This window comes from Homo sapiens, chromosome 18 (genome assembly GCF_000001405.40).
Source record: "Homo sapiens chromosome 18, GRCh38.p14 Primary Assembly".
In the NCBI taxonomy this organism is placed as follows: domain Eukaryota; kingdom Metazoa; phylum Chordata; class Mammalia; order Primates; family Hominidae; genus Homo; species Homo sapiens.
Window position 1 is genome coordinate 42,282,113 of NC_000018.10, and position 24,372 is coordinate 42,306,484.

The 24,372-nt window shown below is 38.9% G+C and overlaps 1 long non-coding RNA gene across 5 annotated transcripts in view; it reads left to right on the plus strand.

The window, feature by feature from the left end:
* The window catches only part of LINC00907 (long intergenic non-protein coding RNA 907), a 504,759-nt gene that overhangs the window by 95,445 nt on the left and 384,942 nt on the right, over positions 1-24,372 (plus strand). For 2 of the 5 annotated variants that reach the window (NR_046457.1, NR_046456.1), the window contains exon 4: positions 7,392-7,482. The exons of the other annotated variants lie outside the window; for them this stretch is intronic. This is a non-coding gene — a long non-coding RNA (long intergenic non-protein coding RNA 907). The remainder of the gene's footprint in view (positions 1-7,391; positions 7,483-24,372) is intronic. 5 annotated transcript variants of the gene reach the window in all.

Genomic DNA, 24,372 nt, shown 5'->3' on the forward strand with positions numbered 1-24,372 from the left:
CTCAAGCCTGTTTCAAAGCACTTGCCTCCTGGAAGTAAGGGAAGCAGGGTGTGTAACATGATGGCATCTTCCATTCTAACACTTGTCAAATGACAAGTGTGGGGCAAACCTAACATTCACTGTTGACTAGAGTTTGACACAAAGCTAAGTGCTGCATCCAATATAGTCTTTAGCAACCCTGTGCAGAAAGTACTCTCATTATCTCACTTTTACAGATGAGGGAGCTGAGATTTCTTCAAGAGGCAATGAGACAACAAATGAAACCCTTAACACCCTTATAATTCTTTCTGGCTAGCTGGTTCAGTACTAACTCCTAGTTTGTTGTTGTTTATTTTGTTTTGTTTTTAAGATTTTCTCTCATCATGCACTCATCTCTTTCTCCCTTGAACTTCCATGGCACTGATTTAGATTTTTAAATTATAGTTTTACTACTCATATGCCTTTTTGCTTAAAAATAGTGTCTCCTCAAGAAGCTTCTATTCTACGTTCTTTGAGAGCAGATTCTACATGACCCATCTCTTTGATCATTCTGTTTGTTTGTGAGTGTTCATCTTATGTCCTACATGATAATTCTGTGTTTTTTTTTAACCTTGCACCTAGTTTTTTTCCAGTTGTGTGTGTGTGTGCATTTATTATACTTAGAATCTTGTTGGAATTTAGATATTTGTAAATTAAAATGACTTTTATTTTTAGCATCTTTTTTTATTGCTTGGCCTTAGGCATGGTGACCATTAAATGTGCAACCTAAATGTGTGCAACAATTGCAGAAAAAGCCTGACATGATAATTAAAATAGAATCAGCACCACTTACTCTGAAGTTAAGTAAATGGGAGGCATAATGTAGACCAGGCGGGGATAAAAAACAGTGCAACTTCAGAAAGATATTTAAAGGCTACTTATAAATGCTTAAGCAAAATGAGAAATCTGGGAAAAGTTTTTATGCTAAATGTTTGCAGAAATTAGAATATTAAAGGAATATTCATTAAAAAGTCACTTGGAAAAATGCTGATTTCCAACCTGCTTACATTTTTTAGTGTCCTATAATTTATTTTTAGATGACATGTTTTGTTTTTAAATCTAAAAAGCAAGTGTTTTAAAATAGATGTGTGAAATTTGAAGATGAATAAAAAAATAGTAAGGATTGTCAATTATAAGTTGTTACTTGAGGCCAGTTACTTCACTTCTCTGAGGCTCAACTTTGTTCTCTGTAAAGTGGTGGTGATAAAGTTGGGCCCAAACAACCTAGTGTTGTATCTTCCCACTCTAACAGTTTTTGTTTTTTTATTTTATTTCTATTGTTGGATTCTTACATTCATTATAACTGGACCAAAACCTTTATAAGAATATTAAGCACTGTTTACTGAAGACAAGACATGATAAAAATAGTTGGCATTTTAGGCCTTGACTAGATGAAGTTTATTAATTTTATCAAATATGAATTTTAGATAGCCATACGTATAATTCAATTAAAAAGTGATATTAATATTCTCATACAGATGAAGTCTAAAATAGAGGCAAAAATAACAGAAACATTCTATGGTTAAGGATAATTTGATGGACTTTTAGGTTTCATGATTCATACTTCCCGCCCATAATTTAAAATTATGGGAATAATTATTATCTTAAAATATGAAACCAGATACCTTGTTTTGTTCTGTTAAGAGAAGTCTACCTATATGCAAGGTGCTAGCTTACCTTCTTGGTTTTCTTTTAACCAGGATCTTTCTAAATTTGACATAGGTTTAGTTAAGTAGGTTAGATAGAGGAATTTCATTGTTTCTGGAAAGGTAACTCATGAAATTCAGTACCTTTCATGAGATATAATTTTAAGCCCTGCATAGAACCTAGTGTAGTTCTGGGGTCGTGATATATACTTCAATATGGTTGACTCAAAGACAATCCTTTATCCTAATATGTCATACCTGCTCCCAATGTTTGCGGCATCCAGGGAAGAATAAAAATGGAAGCTTACATTCCATATGTCTAAATATTTAAGAGTTATACATCAAGATAGTGAATTGTTGAATCTAATGCATTCTGTTTTCTCCTTCCTTGGCTAATATATCTTTATAATAACCTGGAATGACAGGTTTGAGTTTAGATACCTGAACACACCCCTCTGGCCTAAGACCACATCTTTGGCTTCCCACCCATGTCTCTGTTCTGCACTCTGAGGTACCTTATATGGGCATCAGTAAATGCCCCAGATTAAGCTTTACCTATACCCTTCCCACAGCCTTCCTGGAGCAATCCCTTTGGCCCAAGGGCATCTACACCAGTCACTCAATCTACCCTGAATCGAATAGTACAGAGAAGGGGTTCTTGAATAGGATTCTGGGGAATGTGGGCTCCAGGTAGACACATCCCCTTGGGTTTCTGTGGAGGGCATGGCTGGAGAAATGCTCCAGTATGACTGGAGAGGCATCTTTTGCTTGATTCAGACGCTTTCAGTTATGATAAAAACTCAGGGAACCATATTAGAGGAATCCACAAGGATAATTTATTTCAAGTTTACCGGGAAGACTCAAGGGCAGGAATGTGTTAGGTGTTGGGACCAAGGACAGAATCTCCCTTTTCTCTTGATGCTGTGCCTCTGTGCTTTAGTCTGTCTCCCTGCAGGTAGTTTTTCTAGGTCACATGGCTGGAAATCTGAGCACAGGCTTTTCCTAGCTGTACCTGTTTTAGTCTGAGCAACCAAAAATATGCTTTTATTTCTCGTTCTAAAATTCTATGGCAATGAGTTTGCTCTTCTTGGGCCAGGTTGCTTATCCTCAACAAATCGGTGGCTCATGCCTGTAACCCCAACACTTTGGGAGGCCGAGGTGGGTGGATCACCTGAGGTTAGGAGATTGAGACCATCCTGGCCAACATGGTGAAACCCCTTCTCTACTAAAAATACAAAAATTAGCTGGGCATGGTGGTGCCTGCCTGTAATCCCAGCTACTTGGGAGGCTGAGGCAGGAGAATCGCTTGAATGAGGGAGTCGGAGGTTGCAGTGAGCTGAGATTGTGCCACTGCACTCCAACCTGGTGACAGAACGAGACTCCATCTAAAAAAAAAAGAAAAGAAAAAAAATCACTATGAACAAAGAAATGGAGTACTGTGATTGGCAGAGAGTTTCATGGCAAATAACACAAAAAAAAATTTCATGAGAAAAAACAAACTCTTGAAAAATAAAATATAAAAATATGAAAAGTTGATTTTATATTGTAATTGGAACTCTGAGCTAATTCTTGTAAGAAAAATAAAGAATATGCAACAACTTAACCATCCTTTGCTTTACATTTGGCTTTTCCAGCACCCTCATGGAGAAAGTCCTTTCTGTTTAAGTATTTGAGGGCTTCATAAGATATATCAAAAAGCCACCTTAATTCTTTGTTATTTAAATCTTTCTTTTCTGAAGCACTTATTCTGTCTCTCTGTTTTTTTTTTTTCTCATTTTTGTTGTTAACTAGTTTAACTCTATACTGATTTTTCAAGGGCTTTTGTGTGTTCTAAGTGGTTTTCTATGATCATTTTCATAGACCTCAGGAAATCTTGAATCTTCTGCAAAATGTATGATTTCACTTTGCAGTCATTTTGCATTCCATATTCATATATGAATGCAGTGCAAATAAACAAGAGACACCTACCAGAGTGGTAGAGCAGGAAGGATGGGTAGGCTAGGTTTAAGAACTGTGGGGAGGTAAAAGGATATACTTGTGTAGATAGTTGGCTTATTAGTAAATCTTTTCATGTTTTAAATAATTTTTTCCTCCCTAAAATGTCATTACTGTGGGAATCAGATAATAAATTTTCAGCAAATGAGGACCCCTGAATAAACACGTGACTAAGAGTCGGATTTTTTGGTGGGGGAGGAATTCTAACAGTTTTGGGTATGGCTCTACCAATCATTTGTGGTTTCCTTCCATGCAAGGAACTTCTCTCCAGTCTGTAGTTTCCTCCTCTATAAAATGGGGTGAAAAGCCTCCTTCTCACTGTGGAGTTGGAAAAATTAAAAGGGAAAATTATCTGGCACTAGTGTTTTCTCAGTAAATGGAAGCTATTTGATTGAGACACATTTCTGGTCCTCCTAGGAGCTTAGTTAGTTTAGAGGGGATAAAAACATGTACAGTTAATTACAACATACCGTGAAAAATGCAATAACAGAGATTTACAATGGCCATTCAACAAACCTTTAGGAATGATAAGTCATCCAGGAGAGGGGTGTCAGAGACGGCTTCCTGCTGGGGTGATACCTGAGCTGATATCTAAGGCACAGAAAGAGTTATCCGGATGAAAGAGGGTGGGGAGGCACTGCTAAGAGAAGGGGTCCAGACCAAGGCCCACTAGGAGCAAAGGCACAGGAGTGACACGGAACCCACATTCAGACAACTGCTAGCAGGTCTTTGAGGCTGGAGTCAGATGAAAAGGCAAGATGCAACAATAATTCTTTGTAATTTTATTTGTGGGGAGAAATGAATTTCAAGTTACAAATATCTATTCACAATCAACAAACTTGCAACTAACTACCTTATAAGTTATATTACCTTATGATCATGTGAACATCTTACCTCCCCAAACACCAAAAAATATAATATAATTCCTAATTTAATACACTCTGGTATTGGTATGGTTAAATAGAAATATTTATATACATTTATAGAGAACTTTATAGGTTTGGTTTTTTTGTTGTTGTTTAGATGGAGTCTGGCTGTGTTACCCAGGCTGGAGTGTAGTAGCATGATCTCAGCTCACTGCAACCTTCTCCTCCTGGGTTCAAGTGATTCTCCTGCCTCAGCCTCCTGAGTAGTTGAGACTACAGGCGCCCGCCACCACACCTGGCTAATTTTTGTATTTTTGTAGAGATGGTGTTTTGCCACATTGGTCAGGCTGGTCTCGAACTCCTGACCTCAGGTGATCCACCCACCTCAGCCTCCCAAAGTGCTGGGATTACGGGTGTGAGCCACAGCACCCAGCCAGACCTTTATAGTTTTTAATGTACACTTACATTTTCAGATATGAGCTTCACCATAACCTTGTCAGGCAGGTGAGTTAACCATTAGTTTCATATTACAGATTAGAAAACCTAGACTTACCAATATTAAGTGATTTCCCCAAGGACACAATAAGCATAGTGCTAAGACAGGATCAGGTTCTTCTGAGAACTGGTTGAGTGCTGTTGCTTTTTCCTCTGTAACAATGGTGAACAGGCCTTTTCTGTAAAAGGCCAGATTGTACACATTTTAGGCTTTGTGGGCCATATGGTCTGTGTCACAACTATTCACCTCTGCTGTTGTAGCATGAAAGCAATAATACACAATGTAAAAATAAAATAAAAGCAAACAGGCATCACTGTGGTCCAATAAGCTTTTTTTTTTTTTTTACAAAACGAGGATGTGGGCCAGATTTAGCCCACAGGTTACAGTTTGCCAACCCCTGCCCTATTAACATTCTACAATTTTTTTTGCTATATTAAGTAGTGGAGAATTTTAGGTATGTGGCTCCAATACATTTTTAATGTTTATTCATCCCTAGTGTCTTCTATCTGGATAGCACTTATTGTGTTAGTATCACAATCTCCCCTTTGTTCTCTCCTCCATAAAGATCACCTATCTCTGGAATAAGCAGGATTTTTTTTCCCATTAGTTCCTGGGTCAGTTCCTACAGAAACAGGATCTTCTTTTCTCACTAGTGTTTTCACAATCTCTTTCAGCTGCCCCTTCGTGTTCTCTACCTTGCTTCTGATTATTGCCTGGAATTTGAAGGTGTCCATTCTCCCTATGGCTATTGTTATATTGGCTTCCACGGAAAGAACATAGAGAGGAGTTTCTGTACACAAGCCTCAGTTTCCCAAAGCGCCATTGCCACAGGCTGTCATGGATAACAGATTTTACTGAAGGAGCCTCACTTCCATCCCTTATGACAAACTATCATGTAGGGAAATCCCACTTTTCCTTTAGGAAACTCCCTCACAGGGGCTGTTCTCTCACCACTGGGCCTGTTCTCACCACTGGGCCTAGCCTCCTTCTGCTTCCAGGACAGGTTGCAGCATACACACTGCAGAGCCTGTGCTATTCAGCCTGGAGTAATACACACCTGGCCACATGCATCCAGGCTCCTCTCTCTCCCTTGCCCTCAATGTCTCACCAGCCAGTGAATTCTCTTGCTGTCACTGACTTAATTAGCCCTCATTCTCTCTCATCTGGAATACTGTCTCCTTCTCACCAGCCTACAGGCCATTTTTCATTATTCTCTCATTGGTCTGGTCTTCCCACCCCTCACAACCTGAGTCATAGTTCCTAGAAGCAAATCTGATCACATCACATCCCTACTCAAAATTCTATACATCGTCACTTTTACCCACAGCATACAATGCACATTTGTTAGCTTCACTCAAGGCCTTTCAAAATCTGGCTCTATTCTTACTTTCTTTCTTCTCCCACCCCTAACTGAAATAGGCCTTCTCTTTCTACCATATATCTAATAACTCCCCATTCAGGAGAGGCCTTTCCTCAAACTCATGCCTTTAAAAACCCTTTTCCTAAGCTAGAAACATGGGTGGACAATCTGCTTTCTTCTCTACTACAATTAAAATATGGTAAATATCACTATTTAGCAGCAGTAGGCCTGGATAGGATGGTAAGGTATTGATGCTGTCTCTTCCAAACACCTATCCTAAACACCACACACACACACACACACGCACACACACACACGCGCGCACACACACACACACACACACTACGTAGACATCAGTTTGGCCTAAAATATGCTAACCACGCCACATGATGTTTAGAAGAAGAAATGGCTTACATACATGATTTGTACAGATTGACTATTACCTATGATTACCCTCATTAGATAATTCCTCAACTCCATTGTAACTGCCTAGAAACACATTATCTGCTATTAGAAAAGTATTGTCTGGCCAGGCGCAGTGGCTCATGCCTGTAATCCCGGCACTTTGGGAGGCCAAGGCGGGTGGATCACGAGGTCAGGAGATCAAGACCATTCTGGCTAACACCGTGAAACCCCGTCTCTACTAAAAATACAAAAAAAAAAAAAATTAGCCGGGTGTGGTGGCGGGCACCTATAGTCCCAGCTACTCGGGAGGCTGAGGCCAGAGAATGGTGTGAACCTGGGAGGCGGAACTTGTAGTGAGCCAACATCGCACCACTGCACTCCAGCCTGGGTGACAGAGGGAGACTGTCTCAAAACCAAAAAAAAAAAAAAAAAAAAAAAAAAGCATTGTTTAATTGCTGAGTCTATGAAATTCATCACAAAATAAGATTGTGTTGACTTGGTGGTTTTCCCTCCCTCCCCTCATCACTCCTTTCCTTGTTTTCTTACTGTTTTCTTCCCTCTGTCTTCTTTCTTCCCCAATTTCACCAGTTTTGAGTTTCTCCTAGATGCACATTGTTCTTTTGGTTGTGAAAAATTCGAAGAAGTAGATGTGGTCCTGGTTGATGGATGAACATTGAGGCCCTCAAGTGCATAAAGGTAAGGAAAAGATGATAAAAGAAGCTATGTACTTGATAGAATAAGGGTTGGAGAGGGTCGGAGGAGAGAGAGAATGCTTCTGAGAAGCAATTATGGGCTTAAAGCAGAAGCCTAGAGAATAAATAGCATTTCAGTCAACAGAGGGCAGAGAAGTGCAGCTTCACACAGGAGGGGCACTGCGTGTCATCGGGGGCAGTAATGTGATGTGTGTTTGGGATATCAGTTTAGTGATGTTTAGGGAGAGATGTAAATTTGAATCAATCTGGAATTTGTATTGTAAAGAGTAGGTATGTGATATTCAATTTTTCTATACATAAGCATATCAGGAGAGATATTTTCTTTGTTTTTGAAATTGTACTTGAGCTCATTCCTTAATCCAGGAGAGATGAGTAAAAATCTTCCTCTGGTTTTCATTTATTCATCAAGAACTATTGATTGAGTGCCCATGTTTATCAAATACTGTTCCTGGCTCTGTTTACTTAAGATTGTGCATCAGACTTAAGTATGAATAATATGTGAGATTATGGATTAAATCTGCAAACCTGTATTTAACTCTGTTTTCACATTTCCACATACTACTTAAATGAGAGCTTTCCAGGCCATCCATTATTGAGGTTACCACTGCCTTGACTAAAGATAAAGAAGAAACATTCAAAACTTGGTTTTATTATATGAGCTTTACTAATCGAATGGATTTGTGAAGTTATCTACCATCTATTTTAATCATGAAGGATAATAGCTGTCACACGCGTCAATGTCACATTTATTTTGTTATGGCAGAGTACAGAAGTAAACTGACTTATTTTCCCTAGAGTTTTTGCACAAAAGGGACATGGTTAGCTGCTCCTAACTGAACTGCATTAATGGATCATTCCTTATATGTATCCTAGCAACACTGAAAACAACCTAATAACTGCCCAATTCTCCTCATCAGCAGACTGTGCAGTTTTCCCTGTGTTCACAGACACAAGGTCATTGCCAAATCTCCAGTTGACTATATACTATTTGAAATGATTCAATTACATTTTCCCAATTAAACAAAGGTAAAAAAATGATCAGGAAGTAATCATGTGTCCTAGGAAATAGTGTGTGTGGGAGATTGTGAGGAATATTTGTTTCAATTATTATCTTGTGATGAAGAGGTTTGATCCAAGGTTAATCATCTTCTGCTTAGCTTCATCCTTCCACTTGGCTAGGTGCCTGCCTGGTTCCAGGAGAGCTGAGCGAGACTGGGGGACAGATGAGACTGGGGATGGTTGAGTATGGGTCTTCTCTTTCTACTGTTTTCCATTTATTTGTGGAATGGCACCTGGCACTTTAAATAGCATCTTTAATCAGCGTGACTTAAAGTGCTTTCCAAATAGATGCATTATCCTTATTTTATAAACAGAAAAAGACAGAGAGACAGTTACGTGACTTGCCCAAGGTCATAGAAATGACAGAAGAGCTGGAAATAGTCCTCAGAGTATTGCCACACAATATCAAATCAAGGGTGTCCTGATGAGATGCAGTGGAGGCCAGGGAGTCACAGGACTGGTTTGCTGCTAGCTAGTTATGTGTGACGGAGCACAGTACTCATGCTCTCTGGCTTTGGTTTTTCTTATTTTTAGAACTAATAGGGGAAAGGTTTTCTCTGAGATTCATGCTAGCAATAAATTTCGATGTCATGGTTTCAGAAATATCTACCTCTTCACTTTTGAGATAATGGTAATTTGGCAGAGCTCAATTGACATTTACCTCTGTGTTTTTTTTTTTTTTTGAAAGAAGAGTTTTCAAGTAAATGACAGTTTTAATTAAAGAAAAAAAAAGCCCCCTTGTTTTGCACCCTTGGTGTCACTAATTAGAGGCAAGTGAGTTTATTCAGTAACATTGTCTCGGGAGGTCTAGCTGGTGTTCTATTGTCCGTACATTTTTATTTATTTGGCACATTTTGTATTGAATACTATATTCAAAGCCTATGTTAGGTGCTTCTGGAATGCAGAAGTGAGTAAAATACAATCCTTGCTCTCTATGTCCTTAGAACCAGTAGGAAAGGATTATTTTTTTAAAAAACAACTCATTAGAACCCAAGGAATAATTCAATAGCAGTGAAATAAGTTAAAACTAGAGGATTGAGGCAATGCCCTGATAAAAATGGAATTTTGGAGTCAGGAAAGTTGGATTTGAATTTCAACTCTACCATTTATTTGGGCAGTATATAGCAGCTCATATAGATTCCATAAACTTTGGTTTTTATCATCTGTAAAGTAAAACTAATAATAATGCCTACCTCATGCAATTAAATGACATAATTGATGTGAAAATTTTATGCTAGATAAATTTATGTATAAAAAAGAATTAAGGACTGGGAACTAGAAGAAAATCTAAGAGGGATGGTATTTGAATGACAACTTGAAATCTCAGATAAATGTCAATAACTGAGAAAGGATCAATGAAAATTAACACAGTAAAAAGCCACACAAATGAGCAAAGGCCTAGGGACATTCAAGAATCTACAGTTGGTAAAGATGTTCACTTCTACAGTTGGTGAGGTTACATGCTTTTAAAAACAATCACTCTTATTTTCAAGCATTTCATTATAATGACTTTTTACTAATTCAGTTTGACCTCTAAGAGTAAAAACCTATGACGTTTTATTATATGTGGTATGACTATAAAGCTATAAAACTAATTTTCATGTGCAGCCTAACACCCCACAGATAACTTTAAAGTCACATTCAAAATAAACTATTTGTTATTCTTGTGTAGTTATTTACTTTCTGGAGTACCCATTTCAATACTTTCTTACTTTTCTTTTTGTATTTCCCTAGACCCATTGGGAAAATCACGTTGAGGGTGTTGGCTTATTATTTCTTTGCCTCCTCTTTGCCCTATGTAAACTGAAAAATGATACATGTATTCTTGGAGTGCTTTTTGATGAATAGAATTTTGACAGGGTATTCCAAAAAGTATCTTTCTCAAAATAATTTGGTTTTGAGGAATTTAAAATCTGTCTAGGGACTCCCGTGCATTACTGATGGAAATGTAACATGGTGCAGCCACTTTGGATAACAGTTTGGGAGTTTCTTAAAGTGTTAAATGTAAGTTTATCATATGATCCAGCAATTCCACTCTTAGGTATCTATGAGAAATAAAAGCATATGGCCACACAAGATCTCTACATGAATGTTCATGGCAGCATTGTTCAGAACAGTCAAAAAGTGAAAACAACTCAAACGTTTATCTATTGGTGAATGCATAAACAAAATAAGGTATATCCATAAAAAGGAATATTACTCAGCAATCAAAAAGGGTACCAATGCATGCTACAAGGTGGATGAACCTCAAAAACACTGTGGCAAGTGAAATAAACCAAACACAAAATACCGCATATTGTATGATTTCATTCATATAAAATTACCAGGGAAGGCAAATTTATAGAGATAGAAAGCAAACATAGAGTTGCTTACAGATAGGAGTATGAAGGGGAGTGAGTGCACATGAGCATAGTTTCTGTTTTGAAGTGATGAAAATTTTGAATTATGTTATATAAAAGTTGCACAACTCTACTAAAAATTAAAATGGGCAAATTTATGGTATGTAAATTTTACCTCAATAAAACTAATAAAAAGCTATCTGGAAAAATAAGATACATTTGAGGCAAAATATAAGGGAGCATGAACATTTACTGATACATGTGTAGTGTGCCTTAATTCTTAAGAGATTAGAAAAGAAAGAAAATCACTTTTGGTTGAGTGTTAGATAATTCTTTATGGAAAAAGTAGCCTTCTGAAGTGACTATAAAGGAGTTTGCATTTGAATTGGGCATTGGAAGATAAATAGAATTCATTCAAGAGGCTTTAATAATTTGACCCAAACTAAACTCCTTAAACTCATATATCTATTTTTTTTAGGACTCTAGTTTTGATTAGAATTCCCCACTCACTGTTTGTTAAATACTAGTTGACATGCATCACTCTATCCCAGAGTTTTACTTTGCCTTTTAGAAGTACCTTTATAATAACAATAATAGCTTATTTCTTTGTATTCACCAATAAGGAATCTATCAGATTACATAGTTTAGTTAGTGCCCAATAAAAAATACCTTTGGTTGCTTAAGTGACCAACTGATACCATGCCAGGCGGGTAGATCAAAATGACAGGAGTAGGGGGTGATAAGCCTTGTGCTTGATAGAGGGTTGATAATTCATTGGGGCCCAATTAGGAGGCTCTTGAATGCCAGGTAGAGGAGTTTGGCAATTGGGTAGCAAAAGAGTGGCTAATACACATGGTATAATGAAAAACAAACCTGCCAGCAGCGTGAGGGTCAGCTTGTGGGAGGAAGGCTTGGCATCAATTAAGACATGATTTTTTTTGTGTGTGATCATACATTTTAAAGCTCAGTTCACCTTATTGAGCATCTGGTGATTGTTCACCTTACTTTAAATTCTACGTCCTGGAAATCATTTTTTTTTTTTTTTTTGGTTCTCCTTTGACAGTAACTTGAGGAGGCTGAGTTTGTTTGAAAAGTTCCTCCAGCAGCATTCTTTGGAACAAGGCAACTATTTTTTTCCCATACATTTTACTCCTGTTCTGCTATCATTGTTTTGAGAGGCAGCTATACAAAATAAAATTTCTTTAAAAATATTGACCCAGACTAGATATTGTATTGTATTTTGTTAAATAAGATATGTTTGAGTTGAAAGCCCCTTTGTGCTACAAAACTTGTTCACACATGAGACTTTAATATCATGTCCATAATACTTTATTTCTTGCTGGATAAAGGAGAAGATTCCTTGGCATAGCAGCAGCCCACAAAATCCCACTGTTAAGAGCAGCACTGTGATTTAGTTATTTCCAGTCTGACCTGCAACATATCTGACTTCCCCAAATGAATGCCCTGAGCTCCACAGGGCCCAAGGACCAGAAGGAAGTGTGATCTTGAAGTCAGTATCAATAACCATAGCACATAAGCTCACATCCAGTTGTACATTTTCCTTCATTCTCCTTATGAAATGGTGAGTTCAATACTCTTCTATTTTGAAGGGAATTGAAGTTCATGGAACAAAAGGGCTATTAATGCTACACAAATCATACTGATGTTGCAGTGGACAGCTTCTACAACTCCAGCTGGAGCTCATAAAACTGTGAAGTCTTGTGCTCCTTAATACCAAAAGGTGGAAAGATGTACATTAACTTCTTTTAAAGTGAAGGGAAGAAATGCTTCAAATAAAAAAGCATACAAAACAGCTTCCATACACATATTCCCCATCATTCAGTGAGAGCAGAATTTGGGATGGACTCAAATAGCCTCTTGTGGAATTAGACGATTAAAATGCGCAGCAATGACAAAGATACATGAGCAGACTTTCAAGGAGTGAAGGCACTTACATTGGCTGGACTTTTTGCAGGTCATTTGAGCTGGTGTATTTTTTCAAACAAGTTGATCATCACTTTATCCTCCCAGTTAAGTTTGGCAGAACCATAGAAATCAAGGTTGGTTTATTAAACTAAACTGTCCATATAGAAAGTTTTAGATAGATTAGTTTGACCCACAGTAGAATTGTTCTTGAAACATGCAAATACCACTCACTGAACACCTCATTGATTTAGTCAGAAAAAATTCTAGTGGTTTCAAATCATGTTGAAACCAGTTGTCACTGTTAAAAAATATTTTATCTAGTTGCAGTGCCAAACTAAAATGATGTCTACCCTTTTGCATCAAAAGCAACAATTGTATGGTGAATTTTTGGTGTGTAGACCTCAAATACAGAAATAGGGTCCAGAGAAATTAGGTCTATGATACTATGATTCATGTTAAAATTTTCCTCAAGGAACTCCAGCTACCAAAATATCACATGGATATTACTGGAAGATTATATAGAGGGAAGGCTCCACAGGCTCAGCTGAGGAAGGGAAGAAATTGAAACTATGGAAACAAATGAGGTGTGTGGGGGTGTGAGAGATTTGGTGACCAGGTACAGGAGTCTGTTGTTCCAGAAAGAGCAGTGCTCCATTCATCAAGCCTTAAGCAGCCAGGAAGATCCATAAGGGAGATCCATAAGGGAGTGGCCACACGGAGTGATCACTCACTAGCAAAAATGTAGTGGGAAGGGGGCTAACCCCCAACCTCCAATCATCTATTTCACTGAGGCCTGAAGATTTACCACAAATAATTCCTTTCCTTGTTGTAAGCTTTGCCGTGCAATACCTTTTTTTTTTTTTTTTTTTTTTTTTGAGATGGAATCTCACTCTGTTGCCTAGGGTGGAGTGTGGTGGCATGACCTTGGTTCACTGAAACCGCCTCCACCTCCCAGGTTCAAGTGATTCTCCTGCCTTTGCCTCCTGAGTAGCTGGGATTACAGGCATGTGCCACCACATCCAGCTGATTTTGTTGTTTTTAGTAGAGACAGAGTTTTGCCATGTTGGCCAGGCTGGTCTCAAACTCCTGACCTCAGGTGATCTGCCCATCTTGGCCTCCCAAAGTGCTGGGATTACAGGGATGAGCTACCGTGCCCACCCCTGTAGTACTTTTATATAGATAAAAATACTTCTGGGAAGGGTAACACTAGAAGTTAAAACTCCAAGAGACTTTGGATATGATTTAGTGCCATGTTTCACTCTACAAAAGAGGAAACTGAGGCCCAGAGAGTTCAAGTGGCTATCTTATAGCAAATTCACAATGAGTCCAGTACTAAAACTCACTTTCAGACTTTTTTGCTATATTGAATCACCACATATGACACTGTGTATTCATTAACATTAAAGCAATTTGACTTCATGTGCCCTTCCTGCGCAGCTGTGGTTCTGATTTAAATATCATTTCTTGAGAGCCACATAGGAGGTTATTGACTCATGTTTCTAGCTATTGCCAAAACAACCACAGTCATTTGGAAAAAAAAAAAAAGCAACAAAAGTTTTGCAGAGATACTTGCTATTAGGTTAATTTGCAAAGCATATCCTGGATGCTTTCCCCTTACCTTAGAACTTTTTGTAAAAGATTCAGGAAGTTTCTGGCATTTTCTCCCTTTTTAACTTTTTCTTCTTTTATCCTGGAAAAGAGTAGAGAGAAGACTGGTGTATAATGAATGTTGAATGATGAGTAAGAATGATTTTCCTTCAAAGTCAGGGTTGGCAGCTGGTCACTCACTGAGTGATAATAGCAATAAAAACAAAAGCTAACACTGATGGACTGCTTACCATGTGCCACACATATTGTTCAAAATGCCTTCATTATTTGATTCAACTTATTTTATCCTTATTATAATGCTACAAGAGGTTGAGCAATTTTCCCAGCTCTTAAGGGCCAGATCCAGGATTCCAACTCCAGCATCTTCCTTTCAGAACCTAGGACAGTAACCACTCAACCACACAGCATTTTGTTATAGAATGTAGCTGATTTCCCTGAACTTTCTTCTTGGTGATCATTGTTACAGTTGCTCCTGTCCTCAATGTTGAAGAATACATATGTAATCTGGATCTCTAAAATTTTATGTGATATTAATTGCTTTACTCTGATGTACAGAGATATTCAGATAAAGGATGTCCTGGGATTATGAGATTGACTAAGATATGGCGATAGAAAAGAGTCCAGGACTTCTCAAGATTGGTGATCCCAGTGTCAAAAACTTTCCAATGGCTAGAAGCACCTCTCTATTTTGTGACAAAGGAACAGTTTATTGTGAGAAATGTTGTCTAAGAGACCAGAGACTCCCCTGTGCCACTTGTGTGCTATGAGACCCTGGGCAAATTACTTTTCTTCCAGAGATCTCAGTTTGGTCCACTTTACAATCATCTTTGTGTTTTCTTCTTGCTTCAATCATTTAGGAATTTAAACATTGTTTTTCCACATGACTCTTCTTGGAGAGTAGAATAGCTAACCCTACATATAGATAAGAGCCAGGGCAGGCTTGGACTTTCACCTCCATGTCCCAAGTGAGCCCTCCTCTTTTGTCTTTATGGTGGGTCAGTGCTGAATGGCAAAGCAGACAGAGCTGCCTCCAAGACAGCTCATCACTGGCAGGAAATCATTCTAGTTCCTGGCATTACACCTACACATTCTCTTTCATTGCCCATTTCTCCACTCCCAGTCATAACAGATGGGGGGCAGGGGGGCGGGTCCTTGTCCTATAGGCCTATTCAACTAGGAAGGTCTGGGGAGTGGAGACAGAGATGTGGAAAGAACTGTAAGAATGGTCCTCAGAGCTGCTTCACAGCTAGTGAGGCTGGATGAAGAGGTGGTCCGTGGTATTAAAGAAAATACGATCATCATCAGCTCAACAACCATCACTTACCCCCAGGTCTCATCACCAAATACAAAAATAGCACCTGTTTCTGTACCTTGCACTCTTTGTTGACACTTCTTCCTCGATTTATTTTCCTGTTAATTTTTCTGTACATGTTAAATACATTTAAATAAGTTCCACTAGCATAAGCATTAAAGCAAGATAAACTTCACTATTCAATTTGCTTTGGGCTATCAGAGATGTCAGTCAAGATTGTGCAAGTAGATGAAGAATGTGGAGATGGGCTTGGGTGGGTGTCACCTGAGGACTGGAAGAGGAAAGGGCAGGAGGAGAAATCAACACCCAGATCATCAATCAAACCCCCCATCTTTTAGGTCACAAGAGTCTCTCTTTCCCATTTTCTAAGAAGGATTTAGTGTGGAAGAGGCCATAAAAGTGTGTTTCTTTGGCATTCTTAAGTCTAAATAACCCGGTTGGGCTGAAAACCTCTGTCCAACACAGTTTCACTGTTAAGATGTGTGAGTGTCAAACCCACCACGGTGGCATGTGCCTGCAGTTTAGCTGCTTGATGCTGAGGTGGGAGGATGGCTTGAGGCTGGAGTTTGAGACAACACTATGCAACAAAGGAAGACTACATCTCAAAAAAAAAAAAAAAGTACGAGAGTCAAAACTACAGAGCCTCAGGTTTCCAGTTAATATGGAATGTGAGAATGAGACTTCCGCCCAATTCCCCAATTCCTCCCTCCTCAGTCTCTGTCGTTTGATTCTTTGGGTATGACAACTTAGCACGTAGAATAAGCTCACTTAATGTTAGTTAAATGGACTTATAAAATTCACAACATTGAGAATTTCGAGAAAATAGGGGCAACAAAAAGAGTAGGAAGGTAACCATGCAAAAAGCCTCCCCACCCTAACCAGCTCATGCACATACATAAAACACAAGAAAGTTAAACAAAATTTCATGATGTAGTTTGTAGTTTGTCTTGGTGAAAGAAATTAAATGATTTGCAATGAATTTCAACCCTTTGGCAGAATTAATGGACCTATTGCTGTGCAGACACTGCTGCTTGAAGGCAATGGAATTGGAAATTTCCATGCACCAGGGCTCCCTGGCCAGCAGATGGCGATGTTTCTTAGTTTTACAGGAAGATGCCAGGCCAGAGGCCGTTAGTTATGCAGGGCGTGTTTATCAGATGGCTGTTAAATCGGTTCAAAATCTGTAAAGGATGGCAGATCAGCTCTTATTTATTTATTTTTACTTAGAGTTGATGAATTCAGTAAAATTTCATGATGGGAGAATGAACGCTGTGCCTTTGTGTTGGGGATGGGAGCAGAGGACGACCAGTATCCAAAATGGTTGGGTAGCTGCGTTTTATCTCTCTCAGTTGCTTTTTAAAATGAGATTCTTCTCGCGCTGCCTTCTAGCAGCCTGGATTTAGTCAATGTGGGACCAAAGGGCACATTGGCAGCAGTTTTGTTCATTTTCTTTTACGTTTCTTTGTAAGTGGGCTTGTCTTCCCGGGTCAACCACTTGGCTCGCAGATCCTGGGGCAGAGGCAAAATCTGGGTGAGGCTGGGTCGGGAGCCAGGGCAGGGCTGCTCAGAGTTGAGGAATGGGAGGGAGGAGAGCTGCTTCTAGGCTCTTTCTCAGCCACGTGGGAGAATTGGAGATGGATCCACTTTCTCCTCCCTGAGCCCAGCAGCTATTGCACTGAGAGCCAGCATCCCTCTGGAAAGAGGCCGAACCATTTTAAGCAGAGGGAAAGAAATTTGTGGAGTAAATTGGTCTTAAAATACTGCCTGCTCTGTGTGCTGACCCATTAAGGGATATGGCACCACTTGGGATCCAGGATATTCAGTTTCTTGATTTGGAAGTGTCACTAGCCTACTGTGTGATGTTGGACTTGTTTTTTCATCTGTAATGTGAACACTTTGATAGAAATCTTACACCCATAGTTAAATTTGTATTCTTCTGAACTAGCAACTCTGGTGATACAGGAGAATTTTTAGATGACCAATTAAGACAGAATATTTAGGGGTGGGACCTTGGCGTGCACCTTTTTTAAACAAGCTGTCCAGTTGATGTAAATGTTCAGGTGGGCTTGAGAACTGTTGCTCTAACCAGGGGATCTCAAAGGGAAGTCTCAGGACAGCAGCATCAGCCTCACCTGAAACCTTTATTATTATGATTATTTTTGATGCAGAGCCTCGATCTGTCACCCAGGATGGAATGCAGTGGCGTGATCTTGGCTCACTGTAACCTCGGCCTCCCAGGTTCAAGCGACTCTCCTTCCTCAGCCTCCCAAGTAGCTGGGATTTCAGGCGCCCGCCACCACACCCGGCTAATTTTTGTATTTTCAGTAGAGACAGGGTTTCACCATGTTGGCCAGGCTGGTCTGGAACGCCTGACCTCAAGTGATCCGCCCCTCTCGGCCTCCCAAAGCGCTGGGATTACAGGTGTAAGCCACCACGTCTGGCCCAAAAGCTTTTCAGAAAAGCAAATTATTAGTTGCCCTAATCAGAATCAGAAATTCTGAGGGTGAGACCCCAAAATCTGTTTTAACAAGCACTCAAGGTGATTTGGATGCAAGCTAAAGCTTGAAACCTACTGTCGTGTTTGGAAGGATGAAACTTCCCCGTACCTTTTGCATAAATGGGGCTGGGGATTACTTCTGGGAATGGGATGTAAACCCGGTGTTATATGTCATTTCCTGGGCTAAACGTTTAGTTGTTCGTGTATGACCTTTCATTTTCTCATCTAGGTAAGTTGTGTGATTTTAAATAGAGAGAAATGCAGCATGCTGGAGCTTCTGCTAGTTTGGACCCCAGAGTTGCTACATTAACATCTTGTAAATGAAACAAAACAAAACAAAAATTTTTATGTTAAATGACTGAAATTTTGTGGCTGTTTGTTCTTGTATTATAGCTTATCCTATCCTGATGAATACAAGTATTAATGCTGTAGTTCTGATGATTTGGTTTGATTAGTGCTGATAAGAAGAGGAGGGACTTCCCCATCCCTCCTCAGTCACCAAACATCCATTTCACAGTTCTTCTAAGAATATATATTTAGGTTTAACATACTGGGATAATTTGAGAAAAGCTTCTATATCTGGTTGTGGGTTGCACGTGCCAAAAATGGGAATGGAATTGAAAAAATATTCAGTCTCATGTCCTGATGTATTCAAATATCTATATTTGGTATTATAGTGTTCAAATATTGGGGTCTGAGTTTGCATCCTTAAAAGTTCTTTCTATAGCTCTGGATTATTATGCTGATACTAAGAATTTGATATTGCTTCTTCCCATTGTAAGAGCTCAAATCTGGGAAGGCATTCTCCTTCTCTTTAGACCTTTCCTAAGTAGACTACTTTGTCTTTCTATGACAGAAACTGCACGTTTTGTGCTCCTTTACTGAGGCGAGTGTCCCTGGACTTGTCCTTTCCCCACCATTGCTTTTTCCTTTGTATATTTATAGCCATCACTCTATTAAGACTGCTTCACAGGGTGGCTACCTTTACTTCCTGTTTTATACTCATTAATAGAAACTTTCTCAGACCTCTGTTTTCATCATTTCTACCATTAATCTTTCTTGACTGTTATTGTTTTGTTTGTCAGACCCCATTACTGTTGTCATCAAAATAATCACCACCACCATCATTAATATTGTCAACATAGTCAACATTTATTGAAATTTTGCTACATCGTTAAGAGTCTGAACTATTGATCATTGATCAAGATATCATATATTTGACCGTCCTTTTGCCCCATCAGTTTGCTCTTCTGCTCTGCTTTGTAACTGTCTGTTACCTTTTCATACTTCTGCAACATGGAATTACTGCCCTGATCCAAGATCCTTTATGTATAGTTTTCTTATTCCTACCTTAGTTCATTTATTCAAAATTATAATGCTCTCTTTTGCTTCATTAAGATATGGCCCTTAGAATCCTGATTTATAAACAGCAAATGCCCAATTCTCATTCCTCTAGGGATCTCTTTGTGACTTATTCCATTTTTAAATTAGGAGAACTCAACAAAAGCTGCTGTTATATCTGCATGAGTTTTTCCCTCTGGAGTTGGTGTTGACGATCTCCCCAGAGCTGATTTGACTAGGTCATTAAGATGGATGAAATAACCATATTGACTGTTTAGTGAGCTGGTTATTTCAGTAATCTTAATGAGAGAATTAGATCGATCCCAAGGTACTCCAAATCCTTATTTGATGATTGACCTAGAAGCAATCAATTGCCCATGTTGCTCTATATGAATTCTCTGCTTCCGTCAACCAGTCTCACTCCCCACACACCCCCTAAACATGAACTCTACAATACACACACACAGGTACATACATAAGAAAACCCATGGGCAGATGCCTTATTGGAGATCAGGCTGGAACACACAAGTAAAAACGTGCAAGGGGATTTCATTTGTGTTTCCAAATGTTACTAGGACTCAGTGCAGGGAAGGCAAGAAGGGGGACTGGTGGCAGAGTCTAACCTTATCACATGATGCATGTGGTCACCGGGGCAGGGTGCTCAAAGCCTGTTTATGTGGATATTGAAGCAGAAGGGAAATATGAAGCTTTAAAATTTACAACACACTCTAATGTTTGTGCTGCTATAACAAAATATCACAGATGGGTAATTTATGAAGAACAGGGATTTATCTTTCACAGTCCGGAGGCTGGGGAGTCCAAGATCAAGGGGCCGGCCTTGGGGTCTGGTGAGGGACTGTTCCATCGATGGTAACTTCTCACTGTGGCGACCTCTCTTAGAGGAAGCTAGAAGAGAAACAAGGGGCAAACTCTCTCTGAAGCCTCTTTTATAAGGACCTTACATCTTAATACCACCACAGTGGGGATTAAGTTTCAACATTAATTTCGGAAGGGACATTACATTCAAACTCTCCATCCAACTCTTGTCTTTGGGAAGTTCATCTATAAGCTGGGAATTGTGACCCTAACCCTACCAACCATACAGGACTTTGTGCTTACTAAATAAGACCCAGATGGAAAGAAACTTTGAAAAGTATAAAGCATTGTAGGAATGAAGCATGATATACTCAAGACCTAATATCGGTCATCAAAAGGAATTCAAATGTGGGAGATAATTTGTCAGTATTGACTAACTTAAAAAATAATTGTTTTCTCTAATTTTTTTAGTAACTTTCTTGACTTCACTTACCCAGATAATAACCTCATATCTCACCCAAACATTTACTTTGCCTGTGTGCTTGCACTTTGAATTTCCCTCTAAATATAAGAAAAAAGAATTTGTGTGTCTGTGTGCACACATATGTGTCTCTGGTGGGCAGAATTTGGGAGTGTGTAGAATCTTGGAAGGGCCCAGGGGCTTCAACTGAATGATCCAATCTGGCTTTGAAGCCACTTATAGGACTCAAAGCTCTAGACTGTCCTGCTGAGACTCACACAGAGCAAGAAGGAGGGGTGAGAAATGTCCATAAGTATTTTCACTCAAACCATGATGCAGGAAAGAAATGCCACAGACTATCAAAGAAACAACTATTGATGTCTCCTGTTTCTGAAGCGCTACAGATTTTAACGTACTAAAATGTAAGTTTGGTGTTTTTTCATTATCTTATGTAGTTGTCTTGCTTATAAGTGGGTTTGTCCTGTTTCTCCAACTCTGTTTTAATGTTTTGTTGTTGTTTTTGTTTTTTTTTTTTAACCAAAAATGCTATCCTGTGTTCCCTAGAACCTGTCATTTAGGACACCCATCATGTCTTTTTTTTTTTCTCCCAAAAACAAACTTGTCCCTAAATAATTCAGTTAATCTTAATGCATTTGCTTTTACACAACTGAGCTCTACCATGGTTTAATTAAACTACCTCATGGTGTAACACTAGACAGATCTGTGAATTAAGATGACAGAACAGAAGGAAACCTTGGGGGTTATCAAATGTAAAACCTTTATTTCACTCATGAGGAAGCTGCAATCTAGAAATCTGGACTCCTCAAAATTTATACATATTTCTACCTTGACAGAGCTTAGAAAAGAATCAGGTCCCTTGATCCCAGCCCAGGGCTCCCTCCACTATACCATTTACTCTCAGCTCTCATTCTGACATAAACCTGCTGTGTGGCCTCAGGCATTTCATGTGACCTCTCTTTGCCTTAGCTTTCTTGTTTTAAAAAAATGAGGCTAATATAAATGTCAGTCTTTCTGTCTCAGATGTGCTTTGTGTATCAGAGGAGACGAGACATGTGAATTCACATTTATGTGACTAGACCTAAAATCACTTTGAAATAAGAAATTCTATCCAAAAGTAATAAAGTATATTGTTCTATTGAGATAGTCATGGACCAGGCTTATGTGGAATCAATACTAGTTTATGATAATAATATTGATAATGTGCACAGATGTCAGAGTGTATGTGATACTGGTACTAGCAAAGTGAGGAATACAGCTTTAAAACTGGAATGTGAGGACAGAGGAAAAAAAACTGAATACAAACCTAAACACCTCAAAATGACTCTCCATAGACCCAAGGAATATGAGAGTTAAGGAGATTCCATTACAAGGAAGTAGAGGGGCTTGTAAAACAATAGCCAATATGTGGTAGATTAAACATCTGCTGCAGACATAAATCGAATCCCACTCGGAAACAGCCGTATCCTCTCTAGAAATAACACTGTTCATAGGAACATTATATACGGTACAACCATGGTAAGGAGAAGACACATTAACCCGTTATCTTAAAGGTTTCAATCTCATTTTTTGAATTTATATTTCAGCTTTTAATCCAACAATAGTCATTACAAGTATTTAATGACTGACTTGCTAATTGTGTATCCCAGGATGAAGCTGAGAGAAGTTAACACACAAACTGGTCATTAACTATGTTAATGATCACGTTCTTTGGGATTATGACTATTATAAGCTATAATTAACAGTTTTTAACCATTTTTTTTCTTTTTAGTAAAAAAAAAAAAGAAATATTCTTGAGGCTCAGACAGAAATGATGAATGCTGGCCTCACTGTTATTTCTTGTATCATAAAGAACAGCTTCTGGGACAAGTTTTTGTTTTCTTAATCATTACTAGAGCTCTTCAAAGTAAATGATGGTTCTGGTCAACTGAGCAAATAGGCTCTGTCCTGTCCTCACTAGAACATCATGGAGGGCTTATGCCTGGACCATACAACCTCTCGGCATCTAGAAAGGTTTCCATCAATTCTCGTGTGGTAAAAATAAAAGAATTTAAAATGGTGCTGCAAACTGCAAGCTTGGGGCGCAATTTGTCCCATGGAAAAACTCCTGGGCCTGATGAAGGCTTGCAAAACTTGAGCTGTGTTCATGACATTTATCTTTTCCACACTATGCCCTTTCTTCCCCACATGAAGTATCTTATGGCCTCTCATTCTCTCTCTCATCAAAAACATTCTTTCCAGAATGAAACTAATGAACATCAGAGGATATAAATGACTGATCAATAAAGCTTTTAAACCACAGGCGAAGTCACCTAGTAGAAAGACTGGCTCTATCTCCTTGGCGTTGGAGGACAGAGCTCTAAGGAATAAGGGCAGAGTCGATCTCTACTAAAAATACAAAAATTAGCCAGATGTGGCATGTGCCTGTAATCCCAGCTACTGGGGAGTCTGAGGCAGGAGAATTGCTTGAACCCTGGAGGTGGAGGTTGCAGTGAGCCAAGATTGCGCCATTGCACTCCAGCCTGGGTGAAGAAGTGAGACTCCATCTCAAAAAAAAAAAAAAAAAAGAAATCTTTATTGGAAAACAAATATTAACATTAACAACTATTTTGTGTTTTTAAGTTACTCTAGAGAAAAATATTTCAGATAAAAAATAAATATTTCCAAGACAAAAATTTGATTAGAAACTTCCCACGAGAACAAAAATTAAAAAATAGAGGCTACTATGATAAGTGATATATTTTATTTGATGTTCAGCAAACATACGCTGCTGTGTTCCAGGTGTAGCTGGATGGTGATGGTTACAACAGGAACTGGATGCTGTCACCTCTTTCGTGGTACAGTACGAGGGACTAGTGTTGACAAGCTATGATGAACGTGACAGCTTTGGGTCTTGTGGGAGTCTCTATGGGTGGGGGAGGGTGGAGTCTAGCCTAGTCCAGGGTTCAGGGAAAAGTTTGTGGGGAAATGAAGTTTTGTCAAGAGGCAGACCAACTGTCTCTTTTAATGAGATCTCCTGGAACCCTGGAAGAAGGCAGGGCTTCTGCTAAGCGTCATGTCAACAGCTTACACAAAAGCTTACAACAGCTTAGAACAGCTTACACAAAAGAAACAGAGGGTCATAGGATGATCAGGTGCTAGGAACAAGCCTAAAAGTGGCTGCCTACAATGGAGGAGTGGTGAGAATACACAAAAAGGAAGAAATGATGTATTTGAGTCACAAAACTTCTGTATTTCTATGGTCTGAAAACTGGGGCACAATTTTTAAATATTTGAAATCAGAATAAAATGTTTTCATAAAAAAATGCTTTCTACTAGAAGAGTGGAGGTTTTTGCTGCTAGCCTTCTCTTAATGACATCAGAGAAGCGGGGTCTGATTAACATTGTGTTGCATCATTCATGGAGATGAGCTCATGGTACGTAATGGAGGCCCTGCTGAACTTCACACATTGTAAGAAAGATAATGGTTCATAGAAAATGGCCAAGCCCTTTTTATA